General features: G+C 45.8%; 1 protein-coding gene across 3 annotated transcripts in view, besides 1 other annotated feature; it reads right to left on the reverse strand.

Moving 5' to 3' along the window:
* Nucleotides 1-19,057, reverse strand: part of GFOD1 (Gfo/Idh/MocA-like oxidoreductase domain containing 1) — a 129,771-nt gene that overhangs the window by 9,896 nt on the left and 100,818 nt on the right. The gene's annotated exons all lie outside the window — the stretch shown is intronic.
* Nucleotides 15,828-16,147: an enhancer, noted in NCBI's record as "active region_24024". NCBI's record gives its function as "activates an Ori minimal core promoter by ATAC-STARR-seq in GM12878 lymphoblastoid cells {active_cell/tissue: GM12878}" and the evidence as "EXISTENCE:reporter gene assay evidence [ECO:0000049][PMID:35858748]".

Raw genomic sequence — 19,057 nt, forward strand, 5'->3', positions numbered from 1 at the left:
AGCTGGACCTGGAGAAACAGCCAACTGGAGGGCAAGAAAAAAAAAAAAAAGAATGACACAGATTTGTTAGCAAGTCAGATAAAACAGACGCTAGGCAAAAAGACTTGGGAGTCAAAGCACCTGTCCTGGGGCAGGTCTCTGTGGTCTAGGCATGCTCACCCATAGACCCTCTAATGGAGACCTGGGCACTCCAGCCGCAGATGTGGGAGAGACCCCAAGAGAAATGGGGTGATGAGACACACGCCACCCTATCCCACTTGTCCTGACTACAGACACTCAATTGACAAAATCCACGAACACTTACAACGTGCTGAGCTAAGATGGGGTTTTGTAGAAGTCGTGAGATTGCAGATGTCTGTCCAGGGCCACAGCCTGGCACATGGCTTTCTCATTTTCCCAGTGGAAGAGCTAGCCAAATCCTAGAACTGGTCGGTACAGATTGGAGAAAGGAAATACAAACCATGGCTGTCAGTTTCCACGTGCACATCTAGTTCTGGCCCTGAGTGAAAAGCCTGGAGCCTACAGAATGACCACACCTCCTTGCCTTTTCTTCTATGTTGGCAGAGCTGGGCTGGTGCCCCTGATGGCCATGAAATAGCAGTGAGAAGCTCTTTTAGTGCTTAGCAACCAGATGAGGACTGAGGCTCCGGCAGAGAGATAAGATAACATTGGTTTGTATCGCCAAAAGTGCCACACACCTGTGTAACATTATGTTCTGACAATATGATCCCGTAGGCATAAGGCTCATCTAACACCAGCTCATGCTACCAGGAACAGATTTATATGTAAATGCAGCGGTAGGTCACTGCAGGGACAGGTGATAAATACTGCCAAAATCTGCCTCACACCCATTGGGTGTAGGCTCTGGCCTCTACTACACCCTATTTCAAGGTCCCCAAAAGCAGGATCCTGACTGCCATCTGCTTAGTATACGCTATTGGTCATATTAATGGCACTTAAGAAAAGGTTTTTATTTTTTTCTATTATAAAAACTATAAAATAAAATAATAAAAGAAGAATAATTAGAGAAAAATGATCCACACCCCTTCCCTACACACCCAAAACAATGATTGCATGGAATTCTTTGCAGCTCCATAGATAAAGAGATTTTGATGAAAGCTCCAGAAGATGTAAAATGAACATGACATGATATACAAAAATGCAACTCCACCCTGAGACTCACATGTGGATTCCCCAGGGATCTGAGACACACACATCCCTTCAGGCTATTTATTAGGTTGCTGCAAATGTAATTGTGGTTTTACCACTGAAAGTAATTGTGGTGCCCTCTTTTTAATGGTAAAACTGCAATTACTTTTGCACCAACCTAATATATATGATATGGCTCCACATTATACAGTAAGGCCCTCAAGGATAAGGGCTGGGTTGTTTAATGCTTAAGTCTCCATTAATACCCACAGCACCCTGTGGTGCATCCAGTGTGCAGCAGGAACCCAGCAAACCTTGTTGCCTGCCCCACCTTTGTGCCCACAGTCTTTTGCAACATTCATGCTTTACAGATGGGTCTCGGCAACATCTTAACACACGATATCTTCAAAAGTCAAACGAGACTTCTAGGAATTTCTCATAAAGAACTAATCCAATATGCAAGCATGGCTTCTTGCCCAAAGATAGTTTTGACTGCATTATTTATTATAGCAAAAAACTGGGAACAGAGGTTGGATGCAGTGGCTTCACGCCCATAATTCTGGAGTTTTGGGGAGATCACTTGAGGCCAGGAGTTTGAGACCAGTCTGGACAACATAGCAAGATCCCATTTCTTAAAAAAAGCCAGGCGTGGTGATGCATGCCTGTAGTCCCAGCTACTTAGGAGGCTGAGGTGGGAGCATCACTTAAGCCCAGGAGTTTAAAGCTGCAGTGAGCTATGACTGTGTCACTGCACTCCAGCCTAGGTGACAGTGAGACCCTGTCTCAAAACAAAAAACAAAACAACTATGAGCAACGCAAATACCCAACAGAAAAAGGGTTAAGTCAACTGTCATGCAGCCATATAATAGAATATTGTGCAACCATAGAAAATGATGCTTATGGAGACTTTTCAATGGCAAGTAAGATGATTATGATGTAATGTTAAATGAAAAGGGCTCTATTCATAGACATATATGATCTCAACCCTCTCTGAAATGACAAAAGAAAAAGAAAAACCCTAGGAGGTTTACTCTGATTAGTAGGAGTGGTTGGATTAGTAGGATTATGATTGATTTTATTTTCTTCACATTTTTCCATATTTTCTAAATTTGTAATTTTATGGTCAGAAAAAAAAAGCTAATTAAAAAAATCCACAAAGAGACAGGAAGACCTTTGAAGGACAGCACTCACAATAATGGAAAAAGGGTCCTCCAAAGTCTAGGGGAGCTGGCAGGTCCCAGCTCTCATGGGCCCATCCCAGTTCCTGAGCCCCAGAGAGCTGGTAGAAGGTTCTGCTGACCCTGAATCTTGAAAGCTTCAGAAGCCCGGGCTCTGTTGCCAGGTCTTCTTGCTCCATTTGCTCAAGACCTCTTTATGATTCTTACTGAAAGCTGTGGACTCTCTCTCCAAAACATGCAACTCAGACAGATGCACAAAACTCTGCCACAACCTGAAGCCCATGCACGGATCCCCTCCGGTTCTGAGGCCCAGGCATCATCATACATTCACAATAAATTCTTAAAGGCTTTGGGACATATTGTTAAAAATAAGATAATCCTTCCAGTTCCAAAAGGAACCCAAAACGCAGAGCCAGCAGACCCTTCACGAATTGCTAAGCAAAGTTTGTTTTCTCTGCATTCTGGACAGTCTTCCCTTACCCTACCTCTCTCGGTGGGCTTCTGAAAAGCCCACTCTGAGATCCTCAAGATCCTCAGGTTTTTTCTTTTTCCAGCTTTTCCCCACCCAAATCTTCGCTATCAAAAGGTTCTTGCTAAAGGAGCACAATTCTAAGTATAGACTTCTAGTCAGACACTGTGTGTGTGTGTATATGTGTTTATGTGTGTGTGTGTGTATGTATGTATGTGTGTAGGTGGATTAGTGTGGCACAGAGCATTCCTCTCATCCCTAAAACCACGTGCAACGTAAAGGGAACTTGCATTGTCTGAGTGTGTGGTTGACATACCCCACAATCCTGGGTGTGTCAGATGCCATTCACTGTATGCTGGGATTTCTCCCGAAGAAAGCACACAGGTACCTGTTCTGCAAACTGCCTGTCTGTCAGCCTGGGCTTTGGACTCGGCTCTCCAGCAAATACCACAGGTATTTGATCTTCTCATGACAATCATCTGTCTTAGCATAGGAGAAAGCACCAAAATGGCTCTTTAGAGAAAAGCACTCTCTCCCATTTAATGTAGGAAATAAGTAGAGGCAGTCTTGCACTCTTCTCTAAGCACGTGGCTATGACATTTCTTTGACTTGAGGGTAAGTAGATTCTACCGGGAAGACAGAAAATGAGGGGTTCAGGCAGAGGCAGAGGCCCTGTTTTCTTATAAGCCCTTTACAGCCATGGCTAATTTCCTAATGGAGAAACCTACAAAGGCTTTCCCCCTTTTGCCATGAGAAAAGAATACTGCCCTAGGTCACTGTGCACAGCCTAAGGAGGCCATCTGCACTTTCTTACTCCTAGGTGAACAACTTCCCTGAAAAGACAAGGGAGCCACTTGTCCCATGCTGAGTCCACACACCTCTGGGAGCACCAGGCCAACACACGTTCTTTAGGTCTCAGGTTTACATCCTCTTGTGGCAAAATGTGGTGCCCACTTTCTGAGGCAAAAAGATCAAAAACTTTGGGACTTCAAACAATTTCAGAGATAAAAATCATGCTGCAGAGAATTAGGCAAAGGGACTTGGAACATATGGACTCTATTTCACTCCAGATTAACAGGCAGTGAAAAATGAAAACCATGAAAACAAGAAGTGCCTGAGAAAGTATGTTTTGTGTTTTGCCAAGCCCCAAACATTTCCCAAGTGGTGGGAGAGGTCTGGCAAAGTCCCCTGGTGCTCTCAATGGTGGTAGAGGAACGGGAGGGGCTTTCTGTGCACATGCGGGTATGATGGGTGAGGGTCACTCTGCTGCATCCATCCAGGACTGTGAACCATCACGCCACGGCTCCATGCTCAGCTCGCCCCCCTGAGGGCTCTGTCCCTGCATCCAGAAATGGCTGTCTTGGAGGGTTGCCGCATCTGTCAATGTGATGCAGTGTGACCACGGGTGAGTGGCAGAAAGCACACGAGGACTGGCCTGAGTCTTCTGGGGAGGCCTTCACAACTCACTCCACAAAGACCAGGCAGCCCTTTGTGTGAGAACAAAGAGCTAAAGCTGGGTCTTTTGAAGGCTTTGGGGCTTGAACCAACTTAAAATTTTAAGACAATATCCTCTCAGCAGCAAATAAAGCGAAGCTATCTGTCTTTAAAATGGTGGAGCTGAGAGATACCTTCCAACCTATGTTGCCGTGCTGTAATTAGGAGCAAAATGAGATCCGTGGGAAACTTCTGACGGGTTAGAGTGCTATGTGCAAGGCAGTGTGCCTGATCTTCATCAGAAGCTTTTAAGTTAAATAATTTCAGAAGAAGCTTTACTGCCCTCCTGAGATCCCTCATGGGGAAATGGAAAATCAGCTCCCTCCGAAGCCTGCTGAATGTGTTCTCTGTAACCGAGCCAAAATATTCATGGCCCTCCTGAGAAATCTGTGCTATAGGGAAGAGTTTCCAGCCCAGAGACCCTAAAGCCCTTCAGGCAGCTGCTCCCCTTATATCCTCCAAGCTCAGGGTCTCCAAGTTGTGGCTGAGTCTCTGCTCCTATCTCAGGACAGATCAGAGCTTTGGTGGGGCTGACACTTGATCCAAATGGTACCCCTGGGAGTCTGGGCAAGGGGCTTCCCATTCACACCTCTAGGGAAAGATGGAGCTCTGTTGTCCCACAGAGCAGGTACCCGTTGCTGCCCTTCATCAGGGAAGTTATCCCTGGGTACCTGAAGGATGGCTGACACCTGGCCACCCAGGGACCAGGGCTGTTCCCTAACATAATCAGCCTGGAACCTCAAGCATCCCTCCCCGTGAGCACACTTCCAATCACACAATCCCTGATCTAATCATGGTGGAAATCTCAGAGGCAATGCTACTTTCCACGAGTTCCTCCCCATCATTCCACTTGTGTTGACAGCCCCTTATCTTCTAGAAGCCAAAACGGATGCTAGTTCTGCAGGCTGGCTTGCAGCTGTCCCAGCAGATTGGCAGAGCCCCCAAAAGAAGTCCCATCAGATATGGCTTCCTATTTTTTCCTCGCATTTGCAGAAGGTAGAGACGGCTTGCTTTGCATTTCAAGTAGGGAACTCATTATCTTCATTTATACTTTGTTCCTTCAACATTTCTGTGCTAGGCACTGGGACCAAAAAATGAGTAAGAAAGATGAATAAGAGCTCACAGTCTAGTAGAGGAGACCAATCAGGAAAGGCGTGATTATGGAATGCAGATCTCAGAAAGTGATAAACAATGAAACCATGAAGGAAGGGCTGCCCAACCGATTTGGGCATGGAAGAAAGTTTTGCTGGAGAGGGAACGTTTGAGCTGGGTTCTGAAGCATGCATAGGAGCTTGCCTATTCATCATTCAGAGTTTGGTTCGGGTATAAAAAATGGTCTAAAATAAGATTAATGGTGTTTAATGTGGAATCTGGGAAACTGCTAATACTGGACTGTTTATAAAAACTGTTGTGTGTATATCCTGATGCACAGTTTTCTGAGAGAGGTTCATTAGATTCTTAAAATAATCTGTGATTCAAGAAAGATTAAGCAGAATTGGAGTTTAGAGTAAAGAAAAAGAAAAAAGGCAGGTCAAAGACAAATCTCTGGTTTCAACAGAACTAAGCATATGAACAGAGCTATTTATAATCCCTCCATCCCTGCACCCTGAGACATGGGACATTTAGTCACTTTCACTCTCTCACTCACTTACTGCAACACTCCATTTAGCCCAGCTCTTTTTCCCCTTTTATTTTTCTTCCTGCTAATCTCCTTCCTGCTCCCCCAACACACACACACACACACACACACACACACACTACGCTTTTTTTTTTTTTTTGAAGTTAGAAACTGCAAAAGAAGTGGAAGTATCATCAGGATTGACTTGTCTAAATCTCACTCTTCCCTCTGTCCCTTCCTCCATATACATTAAAAGAGGCCATTTGAAGAGACTAAATCCCCGATTTTCAATCCCCATGAAAGTTCTTAACATCAATACAACTTCCCAACTCAAAAGACTAGTCTGATCTGCTCATAGCACAAATGGTACAATTTCAAATAGCAACAACAGTCATTTATTGAGTGCTTACTTTGTGCCAGAGGAGGCACAATGTATTTTGCATGCATTTTCATGTTTTAGTCTACACAACCAGGTACTTGTCCTGTTCCCATCTTACAGATGTGGAAACTGAGCCTCTGAGGGGTAAGCAACTTGCCTCTGATTCCACAACTCGATAGTAGTAGAGTCAAATCTGGAATTTGAACCCAGATTGTCTGGCTACAAAGCCAGCCTAGTCTTTTTAAAAATATGTTTTTTTTTTGTGTGTGTGTGTGTGTGTGTGTGTGTGTGTGTTTGTTTTTTTTTTTTGAGACAGAGTCTCACTCTATCGCCTAGGCTGGAGTGCAGTGGTACAATCTCAACTCACTGCAACCTCCGCCTCCCAGGTTCAAGCCATTCTCCTGCTCAGTCTCCTTAGTAGCTGGGGTTACAGGCATGCACCTGTAATGCACCTGGCTCATTTTTGTAATTTTAGTAGAGACAGAGTTTCTCCATGTTGGCCAGGCTGGTCTTGAACTCCTGACCTCAAGTGATCTGCCTGTCTCAGCCTCCCAAAGTGCTGGGATTACAGGTGTGAACCACCACGCCCAGCCAAAAATAAGTTTTTTTAATTGACACGTAATAATTATACATATTGCTGGGGTATAGTGATGTTTCAATACATATAATGTATAGTGATCAGATCAAGGTAATTAGCATATTCATCATCTCAAATCTTTTTTTTTTTTTTTTTTTTTTTTGAGATCAAGTTTCACTCTTGTCTTTTGTTGCCCAGGCTGGAGTGCAACAGTGCAATCTCAGCTTACTGCAACCTCTGCCTCCCGGGCTCAAGCAATTCTCCTGTCTCAGCCTCCCAAGTAGCTGGGATTATAGGCATGTGCCACCAAGCCCAGCTAATTTTGTATTTTTTAGTAGAGACAGGATTTCTCCATGTTGGTCAAGCTGGTCTCAAACTCCCAACCTCAGGTGATCTGCCCACCTTGACCTCCCAAAGTGCTGGGATTACAGGCATGAACCACTGCACCCATGCCAAAGAAATCAAATCTTTATGATTTCTTTGTGTTGGGAACATTCAGTATTCTCCTTATAGCTATTTGAAAATATACAATAAATTGTTGCTAATTACAGTCACCCTACAGTGCTATAGAACGCTAGGACTTATTCCTCCCATCAAGTCGTACTTTGGGTCTGATCTGAACTTTTGCACCCTTGCTGCCTTCTGATCACCCTTCTCTTAAGGCTGGCTAGGTTATTCTTTGCACCCATGTCACCCAGAGATACACGCTCCTATTTTTACTGGCTACACTTGCCTGTGCACATATATGCAATGTCTGCAGCACACAGCACAAAAGGAGGGCTCTGAAGACAATCATGCGACTGACTGCAGTGAGCTTCAGAAACCAGGGCGGTGGGGATGGGAGGCCCGATGTTCTGCTGGGTGACATCTAAAGTCTCAGGGCAATTTGATTAAGTTTCCATCCTAATTTCACACCTGAAACGGAAATGGGTCAGAGTGACTCATATTCAGCTCCTGTGTTAAAGCTCCTGGGGCTATCAGTGGGCTTGGAAAGAGGGTTACAGCCAGTGAAAGGAAGTCAGGATGGCTGATGTTGATGGGACTTAGTGTTGAACTGAATTAATTGCTCAAGTGCTTTCTACATTCAACCCGCCCATAAGGCCAAGCCCCTATCCCACCAACCCCTTTGTGAACCGTCCCCCATGACTCAAGCCTGTTGCCTGGGCCCTCTTATTGCCCAGGAACCCCCATTAGCACGGGGATTTTCTCAGATTGCTTCGTGTGCATTTGGTCATCTAATGACGGAAACTATCACATGTGTAATGAGCATTTACTCCTGAAACACTTTCGAATTTCTGTTACCTTATTGGTAAATCCCATACATCTCCATCTCTACAGCTTATATTTGAGGCTACAGTTGAGAATGCAGATATGATATTGGGGAGTCACTAGCCAGCTCCTTCCAGCAGGGGCATTCCCCAGGAAAGAAAAGAAAAGCTTGCTACTTCCAGCCCAAGGGAGACTGAGGGTAGAGGTCTAGAAACAACAGGTAGGTATGTAGAACCAAGAGACCTTCCAAGCTAGTGGCCAGCTTCCCATGCAGGGAGGCCTGGGGCAGTCCTCCCCTTCATGTCAGTGGCACATACAGACCAGAGTCTAAGGAGGCAGGGAGGTGGGACGGGGGCAAGAGGTCCCATGGGAGAACAGAGGTTTGGAGTTGGATACAGTGGTGACAGTGGTCAGGGACTTGCGGACAGAGGAAAATGGCCAGGACTGTGAACTCCAGCAGTTGAGTCCTGCTATATTGGTCCAAAATAGCCAAATGACAACTACTGTACCTCGGTGGTCGCTATTCTAGAGAGTGGCCTAGAACAGCCATTCTTGAGCCTACACCACCACTCCACGCTTGGACAAGCCAGGATTCACAGTGCACCCCCTGGATCCAAGGGACAGAGCCAGAGTCTCATAAGCCACACTACCCCCATAGAAAGAGCCAATTTCTGGAGTGGAAGAGGAAAAAGCAGAATGCCAAACATTGGGTCACCAGAGTCATGTAAAAGAGGCTGAGATACAAGAAAACACAAATGATTGGGTTGGGTGAGATTGCTGGGTTGAACTACAATTCCATTTCCTACCCACCCACCTAAGAGGATGGAGGCCTAGAATGGCGGTCAGCCTGGCTGTTGAGAAATAAAGGAATCTATGCTTTCTCTTCCCAAGCATGGCGTGAAACCTCATCACACATCCAAAAGGCTGGGAACCTCCTATCATCTCCCAAAGCCCTCACTTAGTCCCCAACAAAACCTCAGAATCTCCTTGTTGATTGCAAGTCAATACTTCAAGAGAAACACTATCCTCACTGTGTGTACAGTGGGAAGGCAAGATACTTTAAACTAGGCAACATCTCAGAATAAATGTAGGAAATTCTCTATTCAAGGTGGGTTGTGCTTTAGTGAAGGGATCACAAGTGTATTTACCCAGCAGATATGTTTTTTTTTTTTTTTTAAAAGCCAATATATTTCACACAGTCCTAAGTTTTGGTCTCAAAAAATGCAAAAATCCAGAAACATTGGGTTTCTTCTGCAGAGCCTCCTGCATGACAACACTCAGTTGTAGCTATCTAGTGGCTTCCACAGTTAGATGGCATGTACATCTCCAGTATACCACAGTCCTCACCAGTCTCTAGTGCATTGCTGTCCTGTATTAGTTTTGTATTGCTGCTATAACAAACCAGCACAAACTGAGCAGCTTAAAACAACACCCATTTACTGCTTTTCAGTTCTCTAGAACAGAAGTTCAGGTGGGCTCAGCTGGATCCCTGATTAGGGTTTCACACAATCATTCTGGAGAAGAATCTGCTTCCAAGCTCATTCAGGCTGTTGGTTGAACTTGGTTCCTTGTGGCTATAGGACTGAGGTCCCCATCTCCTTGCTGGCTGTCAGCTTCTACAGAGCCCACTTTCCTGCTGTGTGCCCTGCCATCTTCAAGCCAGCAACAGCATGTGGAAGTTGGATGCTTCTCATGCTTGGAAGCCCTTGGACTTCCTCTTTTGCCACCAGTGAGAGAGAATTTGCCACCTTTCCAGAGCTCCTGTGATTAGATTAGGCCCACCCAGATGATCCCCTTTTTGCCGTAGAACTAATCACAGAAGTAACACCAAGTGGCAAAGGTCCTCTTAGAATTCTACCTCCCACAGTTTCTCCAGCCCCGTCCACTCATTGTGTCACCTGCCTGCAAGCTCTAGAAACCCCCACAGAGGAAGAGTCTTAAGTATTCTCAGACATATGTCTACATTCCTTCCAAAACTCTCTTTGTTTCTGAGTTCCTTCAGTAGTTTTTACTCCATCAAAAAGAAAGACTCAGTGAGGTGCTCTAGGGTTTTTAAGATCTATTTTCAGTCCCTTGTTATCAATGAGATTGTGTCCCCACCTCTGGGCTCCCTGTAGGCAGTAGCAACAGAAACAGGTGCAGAGCAGGGCCAGAGCCTCAGTCTTGGGGCAGAAAAGGGCACAAGGAAGAGAAGAGGAGCTAAAATTGTATGTATCCACTTGGCATCAGGGGCTTCCCTTTGGCTCACTTAAGCACCACTCCAGCACCATCACCCCCATTTGTAGAAAATGGGGAACTAAGGCTTAGAGATTATGATTGCCCAAGGTCAGAGATATGTGCAGATCCAGGGTGCAAATTCAGTTCTGTGGTCCCAAAGCCCCGTGTTTTCCATTTTTCACATGAGTGGAATGGGGGATAGGATGAAACGACTGAGCCTCAGAACTACCAGATGGGTTAATAAAGGAAGTGCCAACCCCTCAGGCTCCGCCCCCAGCAGACCCCAGCATTGTATTGAGAAGATTTGGGAAATCAATGAAAGGAGGGCAGAGTCTAGAGCTTGAAGATGAAAGAACTGGAAAGCAAGAAGGGCTGGAGGCTTGACATGGGAGAACACAGTGGCTCTTCTCTTTGAAGACGAATAGCTGGTTGCTCCATATCCATGGCAGTGAACCTGCTGGGACAACTGAAAGATTATTATCGAGAAAGAGAGAGGATGGGGAAACCAGCCATTATAGTGCTGGGGTTCCTACAGGATTCCCACAGCTGAATAAAGGAAGTCCTCCCAGGGCCCCAGCCTTCCGCAAGTGGGCACCTCTCATCTCAGCCAAAGGAACCAGGCAGTGATGGGCATGCCACATACTCCACTTCCATGAACCTAGGTGCCAGCAGGAAAGCCACTGCGGGATCACATTAACCCCACCTCCTGCAGCCTAGGAACGCATGTCCTTGGAGGGATAAAAACACCTAGAGTGGCCAAAGCCTGCCCAAGAAAGGAAAGCAGCCCAGTGCTCCATGCTTCCTCCCCAAGAAACAAGAGATCCTCCTGCTTCAGCCAGAAGCAGAGGGAAACAATCAGCTTATGAGAACCCCATCTGCTGCTGGTGTGGCCTAACAGAGGCAATAAACCCCTCCTGCAGCCAGGAGGCAAACCAGCTCCAGGGCTCCACCCACAGCAGGTGGTAAACATGATTAACGTGCTACTGCCCAGAGCACTTTCACCTGCACCAGCTCCAATGGTAGACGCAGTCTGTGCCAAGGCCCAGGGAGTGGTGGGAAGATGGTAATCGTAAAAACTGACAAGTAACCTACAGTGCAATAATTGAGTGTTTGTGTGTTTGGGGGAGGAAAGGTAGTAGAGATGTGTGATTTTGGGGAGCTGCCCAGCCCCTGAATCTCCTTGCTGTGATTGGGAAATTTCCCACCTGAGAGTCTTGGTGGGTGGTACAGCCTCCCCCCATAGAAGGCACGCCAGCTGTTTGCTTTCCCAGAAGCCTTTGCAGCAAAGCCATGGGCACACAGCCAGGCTTGGCCAACCAGGGACACCACTCTGGCCTGGTACATGAGAATGGAGGAAGGTGGAGATCTGTGCTGGCAGTGGGGGTAGCAGCATCTAGTTTCTAGGGCTGTGATGCCCGTGATGCAATGACGGCTTCTATCACCCAGCACCAGCACCACTGCAAGCAACCGACTCTGTCTACACCTGATGGGTTCTCTGGTGTGATCTGGACTGTGGTTGCAGCTGCCAAGCCTTTCTTTGTTCCTTGTGTTTCTCAAGCTGACTTCCCCAGCCTCTCATACATTTCCGTGAGGAACTAAGGTCCTTTCAAATAATTCCCTTCTGCTAAAATCAGCCAGGTAGTTTCTGTTGTTGGCAATTTAAATGCCTCTTGAGTACAACAGGTTTCCAAGCTTTCTGGACCCCTTTCTGAAAAGATTGATTTGGACATGGAGGAAGCTCTGAGTGCCTATTAGTAAAGCAGCCCAAGATCTAGTGTGATTTGTCAGACAGGGAAGTGAAATGAGGGTCAGGGGACGTGGATTGAAATTCTCACCTGGCATTTGCAAGCCATGTGGCCCAAAGAAGCTTAGTTCACTTACCTGTAAAACTGGAATAATAACACCTTCTTCAACAGGCTGCTTTGAGGATGAAAGGACAGATGGGCACTGTCCTGACCCATGAAAAGTGCTCATAAATGTCTGCTCAAGTCAATAACAGACCCAAATAAAAACTACACAGGTCAGCTCTTAGAGCTGCAAGAATTCAAAACAAGTTGGTGGCAGGGAGGTAAGTGCGTGGCAGCACAGGGGATGGGAAAGATACAGACTCAAAAGCTACGTGGGTTCTAGATCTGGCTTTGCCACTCATTCCATTCCGTCTGTGAAACAGAGCTGATATCTGGTCCTGCCAGCTTTGTTAAGACTGCTGACAGTATGAAATGAATAGTATATGGGAAAGTTTGTGGAAGGAATAGGCCTACTGCAAGAAGAAAGTTATTACTGAGATGTAGTTACAAATAAAACCAAAGAATACACTTACTGTAGGGCTCTCTTCCAGGGATCCCTGGGCAGATGCTCTTATGAATGAAAACAAAATGCAAAACTGCAGCCCCCAGATCTGCCCACGTGAATATCATGATGGGGTGCTGGCGGGAGCAGCTTAGCGAATGTCAAGTTCAATTTATGACATACACACACCCCTGGCGGAGACTTGTGTTGGCATTGCTGGCTGGCTGGGGTGGCCACAGGGAGTCAAGGCTGGAAAAATGGAGGGTAGAGGTTGCCTGAGCACTTAGCTACACACATTATTAACTGCTCCCAGGAAATAAGGAAGGCTTAGCTAGCTATGCAAGGCTGTAGATTAAAACTCCTCTTTCCAAATCACAAAACCTCACTTTTGGTTGCAAGCTGATATTTTCATAGGTCTATGCTACCATCCTCACTAGGCTGAGGATCGCTGGGAAATTCGTCTTATCAACAGAGCTCAGAAACCTCAGAAATGGGCAAGGTGAGACACAGAAGTGGGGAGTGTAAGGGAATGTTTACAAAGCATCTGACCCCAGATTGCCCAGGCTTCCTCCTGCAGCCCAGAAGCCAGCAGATTTCTTCCCTCCTACAACCTCTTATCTCCAAGGGACAGTGCTTAATGTTTCACCTAGGGACCCAATGACAACCACTGAGCTGAATGAGATGGGGGTTTCAGCAAGCCCAGCTATCCAAGGCTGAAAGGCTGAAATACTGCTCACTCCTGGGGGTGGAGAGCAGTCATGCTGCCCCTGGTGCTGGCTGGGCTGAGTCCTGGTGCTTTGTTTTCTTTTGCAACAATATGCAAAAATAATGCAGACTGTTTTTGAAGACAGAAACCCAGTTGGCAAGAACTCCCAGAAAACTGGGTGCACCTGAATCTGTGTTGGCCCCAGCAACACTCATTCAAAATCTGAAAAGCTGGAAGCCCACAGCCTGCTTGGTGATGTCAGGTGGCAGCAGCCCCATTTTACAGACAAGGAAATGGGCTAGGAGTTAAGTTTTCATATTTTCTCTTCCACCTAATACAGTGAGGCCCTAGAAGAGGCCAGGATACAGGTAATAAAGGCTCCAGCCCCTGAGAAAAGGGTCCCAGCGGAGCTGAAAAGGTTCCCTTCTACATCCTGGGGATGCTTCCATATGGAAAGGACTCACTGATTCCCAGGAAAGGGTTCTGCATGGACACAGTGCTGGAACAAGTCTGGCCTGGGGCTCCTGGACAATCAGCCACTCATCACATTTGCACAGGACTTGGGTGGAGCATGTGGGAGATGTCTAGATGTCTCAGACACTGCAATGCCCTAAAGGTGTGTCAGATGCAGAGAACAAGGACAGAGGCCCAAGTGTGGCTTGCTTTGTGCTCCAGTGGGAAGGGGTGTGGACAGGTGGTTTATCCCCTCCCCTCCTCCTCCCCCAAGCCCTCAGCCACCCTCCTCTCATGAACACCTCCTCCTGAGACAGGTCACCATGCTCAATCACACTGAAGTCTAAAAGTGCCCCCTGGAGTAAGAGAAATAAAACACACACGCGCGCGCGCACACACACACACACACACACACACACACACACACACAAACTTGCTGACTGAAGCAGTAACTACCACCAAGTACCTGCGAAGTGCTTTGTAGGAATCATCTCACTGAATCCTCCCAAAACCTGAAGAGGTTATTGTCCTTCCAATTTCACACACAAAGCCAAACCCTCAAGAGTCAAGGCCCAAGTTCACATCCTAGTAAGTGGTTGAGCCAGGATCCAAACCCCCATAATCTGGCTCTGTGTATCTGTGCTTATCTTGATTATAATATATTACAATATTGAATGCAATCTGGCAGCCAGTCAAATATGATGGTGAAGAAATCATGTTGTGATATGGTCTGGCTGTGTCCCCACCCAAATCTCATCTTGAACTGTAGCTCTCATAATTCCCAGGTATCATGGGAGGGACCCAGTGGGAGGTAATTGAATCATGGGGGGGGGGGTTCTTTTCCATGCTGTTCTCATGATAATGTACAAATCTCATGAGATCTGATGGTTTTATAAAGAGAAGTTCCCCTGCACTCACTCTCTTGCCTGCCACCATGTAAGATGTGACTTTGCTTCTCCTTCACCTTCCACCGTGATTGTGAGGCCTCCCCAGACATGTGATACTGTAAGTCAATAAACCTCTTTCCTTTATAAATTACTCAGTCTCAGGTATGTCTTTATTAGCAGTGTGAGAACAGACTAATACAAGTTGGAATTGTGGATTTTCATGTAACCATTTAACCCCACAGACTTTTAAAAAAAAATTTTATTTTAAGTTCCAGGGTACATGTGCAGAATGTGCAGGTTTGTTACATAGGTAAATGTGTGTCATGGTGGTTTGCTGAGCCTATCAACTCATCGCCTAGGTATTAAGCCCAGCATGCATTAGCTATTTTTCCTAATGCTCTCCCTCCCCCAACCCTACTCCCCAACAGGCCCCAGTGTGTGTTGTTCCCCTTCCTGTGTCCATGTGTTCTCATTGTTCAGCTCCCACTTATAAGTGAAAACATGCAGTGTTTGGTTTTCTGTTCCTGTGTTAGTTTGCTGAGGATAATGGCTTCCAGCTCCATCCATGTCCCTGCAAAGGACATGATCTCATTCCTTTTTATGGCTACATAGTATTCGAAGGTGTATATGTACCACATTTTCTTTATCTAGTTTATCACTGATGGGTATTTGGGTTGATTCCATGTCTTTGCTATTGTGAACAGTGCTGCAATGAACATATGCATGCATGTATCTTTGTAATAGAATGATTTATATTCCTTTGTAATCCCACAAACATTTATTAAGAACCTACTGGAGAAAAGATGGGGGGTCACCCAGGTTGCCATCAAATCTTGTATTTTCCACAACTACTTTCTGTGCTTTAGAACCATGGTTCCCAACCTAAGGCATCCAGAGGTCCCATGGTGAACTCAGGGTAACTGCAGTGTGTTTTGAAATTTAGAGGGAAACATTCTGTTACTTGACATCTATTGGATACTGCAGGAACTGCTAACTGGAGAAAGTTCCCAGTTTCAACACTGAGTTACACAAGATTCCTTTCAGTGACAGCCTATCTCTGTGAAGCTGAGTTTTTGGCAGTTGCTGTGATTAGAACAAACATACACTAGGAAAAAATCAAGGTGTGGGATGGAACTGTGGGTGGCAGAGTTCTATCTGATTCCAAGTTTGAGAAGTGCAGTGCCCCATAGGCATACACATCTCATTGTTAAAATAATTAATGGGAAGGCCATTAGGCTGAGATGGCTCTCACGCCTTGGGTTTCTATGTAAGCAAATCAAAACCCAACCCTATGTAAACAGTAAAATGAAACTGAAGCTTAACCAATTAGAAATGCCAACTAACATCTAATAGGGACTTTCCACTTTGACTTGCTTCTTCACACCCCTGGGTGGAGCACTGAACCACTTTTGGTCTGGTACTGCTGGACTCATGAATTGCTGAATGTTCAAGTAAGCGCTTTAAAATGTTAATGGGCCTACATTTATTTTTTAACACCATTAACACTGTGATTAAGAACAAAATAAACATATTGGTACTGCGCAGTGGCTCACGTCTGTAAATCCTAACACTTTGGGAGGCCGAGGCAGGTGGATCACCCGAGGTCAGGAGTTCAAGAGCAGCCTGGCCAACATGGCAAAACTCCGTCTCTACTAAAAATACAAAAATTAGCTGGGTATGGTGGCATGCGCCTATAAGCCCAGCTACTCAGGAGGCTGAGGCAGGAGAATCACTTGAACCCGGGGATGGAGGTTGCAGTGAGCCGAGATCACGCCACTTCACTCCAGCCTGGGTGACAGAGTGAGACTCCATCTCAAAAACTAAGCTAAACTAAACTAAACTAAAATAAAACAAAAATGTTTTTACTCTTTCGATTTATGAGTTATTTTTTAAAGCACCTGCTAAGTTATTAGGATTAATACTTATTGTTTGGACTTAGTCACTTACTCTATGAACTCGTGAAGTCTTTCTTTTGGCCTAGGAGCACCATCAAGAAAATTGCTGAGACATTAAAGGCACTGTGCATGGAAAATGTTTGGACACCTCTATTCCAGAATGTCTGCGTCCTCCTACTCCCAACCATAATTATAAGTTCCTGAAACGTAGGAGCCTTCTCATACTGGTCAATACTTTGGTGTCTCCTCTGCATACTTCACTTGCTGTAGAGACTTTTTAGTACTCGTTGATGATTTACAACAGAATGTGGCCATGAGAGGCCCTCAATGATCCACAGCAGCACAGCGAGGTTTGAGTGATTACAGGGAGACCACTGACACGCTAACTCGCCGGTTCCACAGGCTGGGAGGCAGAGATGCGCACAGTGCCTTTCTGACCTCGAGAGTAAATCCATTTTTCTGAGCTCTCTGATGCACTGTAAAATAATCAATTGCCTCTTAAAGGGCTTTTGCGTACAAATGAAGATAGAAAATTTAGGTATAAATCAGTTTAAACTCCTCTGGATTTAGCAGACTTCCTTGCCCATGAGGTTGGGGCTCCGTTTTATTGAAGCTTGAATCTATTATCATTTCATCTATTTAGATGGTTGTTTCCATTCTCAAAAGGCAGACTCACAGATCCAGAAGGCAGAGACCCTTAGGTCACAGGGGAGGATTAGCTGGTGGCAGCAGAGTTCAAGTTCCAGCCCCCTGGGGTATCTCCCAGCTGTACCCTACAATGAGAGTTGCAGGCCTGTCTTCTGTATCTGCTCAGTAACCGGGAGAGTGCAGATAACCTGGTTGCTTGGCAACCACTGCCATCCAATACTGGGGCCAGCAGAGGAGGTGTGTGTCCGGTGTGAGGTTGACAGTCTAATCTCGGGCGTGTGCCAGCCTTCCGTGTAGGTATCTCAAGACAGGACAGGCAGGAGAGATTCCACCCAGGTACCTGCCCCCATGGAGCTCTGGTCCTACTAAACTGCAAGATGACATCTGTAACATAAAAGTACCATTGGGAACCATGTGACATACTTAATGGAACTGTCATTCAACACTGGTAAATAGTTATGGTGGGAGCCTCCCTTAAAGACCAACCAATCTGCAACAAGGAGTAGTGGCTGTTCTGCTGGGGCTGTGGACAGAAGATAGGAATGTGGGTCCAAAGAGAACTCTTGTCCTATATTTTTGCCAGACAAGAGAAGAAAATCACAGAATCATTTTTCTGCTTTCTCAGTGCAGTAAGACAAGCCAATCATCAAGGGTTTTATGAGTAGAACTTGCCAAATTATTCTGTTAGCTCATTGAGCAACTTTTGTATGCAGGTTAATTTCTACTTGAAGAATAAAAAGAAATGTAAGTATTTATTTAAATAGAGTATAAGTGAGGTATAGGTAAAATACAGTGACTAAAACAAAGCTACCTGCCTTCTTCAAGGGCTTAAAGCCCACAGAATGTACTCTGTGGAAGTCAAAGCACTTATAGAGTACATTAAATCCCAACTTCTAAGGATAAAGCCAGTGAATTATTCCCCTTCAGTTCCCTCTCTGCTCTACAAAAAAGTACTCAGCACAGAAAAAGTACTCAGGTCTAAGCAATTCTCTTCTCCTTTAGATTTCCTTTCACTCCGTCTTTCCCTCAATCACCAGCTTATAAGACTCCATGACTCCATTCCCTTATCCTATCTGTTGCCCCAGGCCAGGGAGTTTGGGTAATTCCTTTTTTTTTTTTTTTTTTGAGACAGAGTTTTGCTCTTGTTGCCCAGGCTAGAGTGCAATGGCACTATCTAGGCTCACCACAAACTCTACCTCCCAGGTTCAAGCGATTCTCCTGCCTCCGCTTCCCAAATTACTTTATTTTTTTTAAACAACAGCCTCAGTGTTCAGAATCCTCGGTTCCCTTGTATTTCCAGATCCTAAAGGATCATGATGTCGAGTTGTTCTAAGGAGCCTCCTATCCGTCAGGTCCAAATCCCCCTTTTCATTTATAAGCAAGCAAACTGATACACCTGTGCACTAGATACACACCGCGTAGGTGAAAGCTGACTCCAGGTAGCACCTGGCCTGACTGTGAAGGAATCTCGCGTACTTCGGAGGACATGCGGCTGTCCCTGCCAGCAGCCAGCAGCCAGCGTCAGCAGAAGTGCCACTTGCCTGGGCAGACAGGTGGGCTAACGTTTGGGGCAGAATGTCTTCTTCCCAGCCATCATTGGCTCCTGCACCAGTGAACACCAGCTGCCCACAAAGCTCTGCTCCCCAACGATCCTCATTCTGCCATTCTTCCTGGGGGCTTTCAATGGGTGGTGCTCACCTCAACACACACCTTTACTTTCAGAGGCTGAATAATCAGCATATATGGGCATGTGGCAGGTGTAGACTTCATGTGCACCCCTGGTCTCGTGTCCCAGTCCTGACTCAGCCACCATCTGTGTGGCCTTGGGC

This window comes from Homo sapiens, chromosome 6, assembly GCF_000001405.40.
Source record: "Homo sapiens chromosome 6, GRCh38.p14 Primary Assembly".
In the NCBI taxonomy this organism is placed as follows: Eukaryota; Metazoa; Chordata; class Mammalia; order Primates; family Hominidae; genus Homo; species Homo sapiens.